This window comes from Homo sapiens, chromosome 7 (assembly GCF_000001405.40).
Source record: "Homo sapiens chromosome 7, GRCh38.p14 Primary Assembly".
NCBI classification, from domain to species: Eukaryota; Metazoa; Chordata; class Mammalia; order Primates; family Hominidae; genus Homo; species Homo sapiens.
Window position 1 is genome coordinate 106,749,932 of NC_000007.14, and position 5,673 is coordinate 106,755,604.

A 5,673-nucleotide genomic window follows, 5' to 3' on the forward strand; every position below is an offset into this window, starting at 1 on the left:
GCGTGTACGAAATTCACCGTTACTTTTAGATTCTGGTGTATCAACTAATGATTGCAGTTTGGCAATCTCAGGCCCATAACTCCCACCGACCCCCCAATTAATAAACTTAATCTTATCTCAAGCCCCCATTTCTGCTGATGGCAAAAATGCGATCTCATCATTTCCAAACAGATTCAATTACTTTAGACATTTCTCAGTTAGTCCAGGGAACCGTGTTTCGTCTTCCCCCTGGAGTTCTGCCCATATAAGGAGGTGAGTGAAGAGAGAAGCGTAAGCACCTGTGGGAAGGGGGCCATCACATCCTATGGTTCTCTGTCCACTCCAGTCTCTGCTGAGATGTGACTTGTCCTCCTGGTCTTCAACTTTTATTTATTTATTTTTTTTTTTTGAGGCAGAGTCTCACTCTGGTGCCCAGGCTGGAGTACAGTGGTGTGATCTCAACTCACTGCAACCTCTACCTCCCAGGTTCAAGCAATTCTCCAGCAACGGCCTCCCAAGTAGCTGGGATTACAGGCATGTGCCACCGTGCCCAGCTAATTTTTGTATTTTTAGTAGAGACAGGGATTCTCCATGTTGGCCAGGCTGGTCTTGAACTCTTGACATCAAGTGATCTGCCCACCTCAGCCTCCCAAAGTGCTGGGATTACAGGCATGAGCCACAGTGCCTGGCCTTGCCTGGTCTTTAGTCAGTAGCATCTGTTGTGCTGCAGAGGCCAGGTGTCCAACTATGAACTCCAGTCTGTATCATTCAGGCCACTCCCTGTGATGGCATCCTCTCCTTGTGGCCTCAGAGTCCCTTCTCCATCATCCCTCCTTCTGCTGCTTCTGCAACCCTCCTGGAGGAATGGGGGAAATGTAGGAAGTCTTCCGCCCTTTGGGTCTAAGGGAGACTCAGACTGGCGAGTGTCCTCTTCGTTGACACACGTCACTCACAGGCTGCTGCACGTTGTTGAAGCAGAGGGCTTCTCTGGGAAGCCTGGCCCCATTGGGATATTGACTTAAACCTATCTCAAGTTTCTCTTTGGTCCCCTCCCGTGGCTATGCTGAGTCAGGGATGCAGCACAAGATCCCTTCTTGAAGATGCAGTGACTACTTCTTCTCCTTCCCTTATTGCTGGACTAATGTTAGCTCCTTTTAGGTGGAAACACTGGTTCTTCCTTCATCAAGGAATTTTCCCAGCTTTTTTGTTTATGGCATAAACTTCATGAACTGAGTCCTTACGTTTTTGGATCTGAATAGACTCCCAAAAGGGCAGACCCTTGCTATTGAATTCTTTGACTTTCCAGTCTACTGTCACTGGCATAAATTTCAAGCATCTATTTTAGAAATCAAGAGCCACAAATCTAACTTTTGTTCTCTGTGACTCACCTGTCCAAGAGTCACTAATGCTCAGCTCCAGAGACTAGTTATAATGGTGGAAGGATCATGTGATGAAAATATATTATCCCTAATTTAAACTAAATATTGTCTTCTTCTACCTGCCCCTGTATAAGGGAAGTCTGTAATCACAGGGGCTCTAAGAGGGTGAGAGTCAATGGAGCAGAGTAGCTCTGATGGCAAGTCAGGGAAGGGCAAATGTTGGATTGTCCTTTCAACAACTGATTCCTTTCAAAGAAGTTATTCCCAACTCTAAACATGTCATCAGAATCCCCTGAGGTTTTTTCATTAATTTCTTATTTAGACTCAGGGGCGCATGCACAGGTTTGTTACATGGGTATATTGCATGATGCTAAGGCTTGGGCTTCTACTGACCCTGTCACCCAAAGAGAGAACACAGTACCCAGAATGTAATTTTTCAACCCTGACCCCCTCCCTCCCTTCCTGCTTTTGGAGACCTCAGAGTTTATTGTGCCCATCTTTATGGCCATGTGTACCCAATCTTTAGCTCCAACTTATAAGTGAGAATATGTGATATTTGGTTTTCTGTTTATGTGTTCATTTACTTAGGATAATGGCCTCTGGCTGCATCCATGTTGCTGCAAAGGACATGATTTTGTTCTTTCTTTTGGCTGTGTTGTATTCCATGGTATATACATACCATATTTTCTTTATCCAATCCACTGCTGATGGACTCATAGGTTGATTCTGTGACTTTGCTACTGTGAATAGTGCTGCAATGAACATATGAGTGCATGTGTCTTTTTGGAAAAACAATTTATTTTCCTTTGGGTGCATACTCAGTAATGAGATCACTGGGTCAAATGGTAATTCAATTTTTAATTCGTTGAGAAATCTCCAAACTGTTTTCCCTGTAGGTTTTTGGTTTTTGTTTTGTTGTTGTTGCTTTTTAGAAAGACACACTCCCAAGCCCCACTCTGGACCTGTTCAGAGAAGGCATCTAATTTTTTAAAAATTTTCAAAATTCACAGTGATGATTTTGATGTATACCTGCTATTAGAAGCTATGAGTTGAAAACAGCTGTGGCCTGAAGACCCTTCATAAAGAGGTTGTCTAGGGGAGGATCTAGAAGTGTCTAGAATCAGGTATGTAATCTGAAGTTGGGATTCACCTATCTCCACTGCTTGTAGCAGAATGCAGAGCTAACCCCAAGCAGAGGATCAGCAGGCCAAGGGGACACTTAGCAGGAACTGTCAGAGCAAGGGAACAGGTGCCAGCAAAGTCACAAGACCTGAGAGGGTGTAGAGAACTTGGCAGGTAAAAGAACAAAAAGAGCAGAGATAAGGAATCCAGATAAAGGAGCTGATGATTCTATGTTGACCTTCTGTCCCCCAGTGAAGAAAATTCTAATTTTTTTTCCTGCTAAATCAGGAAGCAGTTCCAGGAGATTTTAGTCAACAATTTGCCACCTCTGACAGACGTTGGCATAGGCTGCTGGTGTGCATACCTGGTGTGCAGCTGGAAATAAAAGGGGAATAGAGTTAGGACAAGGAAATGGGGAGATGTGCAGCTAAGCTAGATTTGAGTAGATTGACTGGTGGAAGGAGCCATTTCAGACTACAGGAATTCTGGAGTCAAAAAAACAAAGCAAAAAACGATGCCTTGCTGACAGAACCAAGAACTGCACTTCCCACCGTTTAGCTGTCCACCAGAGTCAAAACACTCATTCTGGGTACATGTCTTGATGTCTCCTGGATATGAGTGGTATTGCAAATATTTTTAATTTAAAAAGAAGCCCTCCTACAAAAACATTAAGGTTAGCAGATAGTACATGCTACACACCGTTCTGATTTTTTAAAAATAAACAAACCACAAAGCTACCTTGAACTGTTAGAAGGGCCTGCTCTATGTAAGGCAACTAACTTCCTTCTTTTTTTAAGTAACAGGCCACTGAGTGAGGGATCTCTCACCCCAACTCTGGCCAACACGTATCGATTTATCTTTTATTTTATAAAATGAAATAAACATAACAAAATTTACCATCTTAATTTCTTTAACTGTACAGTTCAGTAGTGTTAAGTGTACACATTGTTACGCAACCAATCTCTAGAACGTTTTCATCATGCAAAACTAAAATTCTATACCCATTTGACAACTCTCTAATCCTTCCTCCCCCAGCCCTCAGCAATTACCTACTTTCTGTCTCTATGAATTTGACTACTTGAGGCTAGGCGCCGTGGCTCATGCCTGTAATCCCAACACTTTGGGAAGCCAAGGCAGGAGGATCACTTGAGGTCAGGAGTTCGAGACCAGCCTGGCCAACATGGCGAAACCATGTCTCTACTAAAAAAAAAAAAAAAATTAGCTGGGTGTGGTGGCACATGCCTATATTCCCAGCTACTTGGGAGGCTGAGGCAAGAAAATTTCTTGAACCTGGGAGGTGGAGGTTGCAGTGAGCCAAGATCATGCCACTGCACTACAGCCTGGGTGACACAGTGAGACTCTGAGTCAAAAAAAATAATAATAATAAATAAACAAATAAAATGAATTTGACTACTTTAGATACCTCATATAAATGAAATCATACAGTATTTTGGGACTGGTTTATTGCACTTAGCGTCATGTCCTCAAGGTTTATCTGTAGTGCAGCATATGTCAGAATTTTCTGCCCTTTTAAGGCTGAATAGTATATAATCCATTGTGTTTTTTTTATCCATTCATCTGTGGATGGACATTTGGGTTGCTTCTGCCTTTTGGCTACTTTGAATAGTGCTGCTACGAACATGGGTGTACAAATATCTTGTACCTTCAATTTTTTTGGATAAATATCCAGAAGAGGTATTGCTAGACCAGATGGTTATTGATGAAAAGAGTCAGATTCTGTAAAATATTTGAAGAGATTTATTCTGAGCCAAACATGAGTGACCCTGGCCTATGACGCAGCTCCAGGAGATCTGAGCATGTGTATCCGAGGTGATTGGGCTACAGCTTGGTTTTACACATTTTAAGGAGACATAAGACACCAAGCAATACATGTAAGATGTACATTGGTCTTGTCTGGAAAAGCAGGACAACTCTAAGCAGGTGAGGGGGCTTCCAGGTCATACGTGGATTCAAAGATTTTCTGACTGGCAATTGGTTGAAAGATTTTAGTTATTACCTAAAGACCTGGAATCAATAGAAGGAAGTGTCTGGGTTATTATAAGAGATTGTGGAGAGCAAGGTTCTTATTATGCAGATGAATCCTCCACGTAGCAGGCTTCAGAGAGAATAGATTTAAAATGTTTCTTATAAGACTTAAAAAGGCAAGGTTTCAGAGAAAAGGGAACACTTATACACTGTTGGTGGGAGTGTAAAATAGTTCAGCCATTGTGGAAACCAGCATGGCAATTCCTCAAAGAGCTAAGAGCAGAATTACCACTTTGTGGACCCAGCAATCCCATTACTAGGTATATAACCACAGGAATATAAATCATTGTAGGCCAGGTGCGGTGGCTCATGCCTGTAATCCTAGCACTTTGGGAGGCTGCAGTGGGCAGATCATGAGGTCAGGAGTTCAAGACCAGCCTGGCCGACATAGTAAAACCCCATCTCTACTAAAATTACAAAAATTAGCCGGGGCATGGTGGCATGCACCTGTAGTTCTAGCTACTTGGGAGGCTGAGGCAGGAGACTCACTTGAACCCAGGAGGCAGAGGTGGCAGTGAGCCGAGATTGCACCACTGCACTCCAGCCTAGGCAACAGAGTGAGACTCCATCTCAAAATAAATAAATAAATAAATAAATAAATAAATAACTCTACCATAAAAGCATATGCACACGAATGTTCATTGCAGCACTATTCACAATACCAAAGACATGAAATCAACCCAAATGCCCATCAATGATAGACTGGATAAAGAAAATGTGGTACATACACACCATGGAATACTACGCAGCCATAAAAAAGAACACAGTCATGTATTTTGCGGGAACATGGATGGAGCTGAAGGCTATTACCCATAGCAAACTAATGCAGGAAGGGAAAACCAAATACCACAAGTTCTCACTTATAACTTGGAGCTAAATGATGAGAACTTACAAAGACAAAGAAGGAAACAACAGACACTGGGGTCTACTTGATAGGGGAGGGTGGGAGGAGGGAGAGGAGCAGAAATGATAACTATTGGATATGGGGCTTAACACCTGCGTGATGAAATAATATGTAAAAGAAACCCCTGTGACACGTGTTTACCTATGCAACAAACCTTCACATGTGCCCCCAGACCTAATATAAAAGTTAAAAATAAGAAACAAGCAAACAAACAAACAAGACTTTAAAAGGTGCCAGACTCTT

General features: G+C 42.5%; 2 annotated features.

Annotated features, from left to right (window-relative positions):
* Nucleotides 918-1,118: a silencer, noted in NCBI's record as "peak6674 fragment used in MPRA reporter construct". NCBI's record gives its function as "represses an SCP1 promoter by STARR-seq MPRAs in K562 erythroleukemia cells {active_cell/tissue: K562}" and the evidence as "EXISTENCE:reporter gene assay evidence [ECO:0000049][PMID:32103011]".
* Nucleotides 2,958-3,158: a silencer, noted in NCBI's record as "peak6675 fragment used in MPRA reporter construct". NCBI's record gives its function as "represses an SCP1 promoter by STARR-seq MPRAs in K562 erythroleukemia cells {active_cell/tissue: K562}" and the evidence as "EXISTENCE:reporter gene assay evidence [ECO:0000049][PMID:32103011]".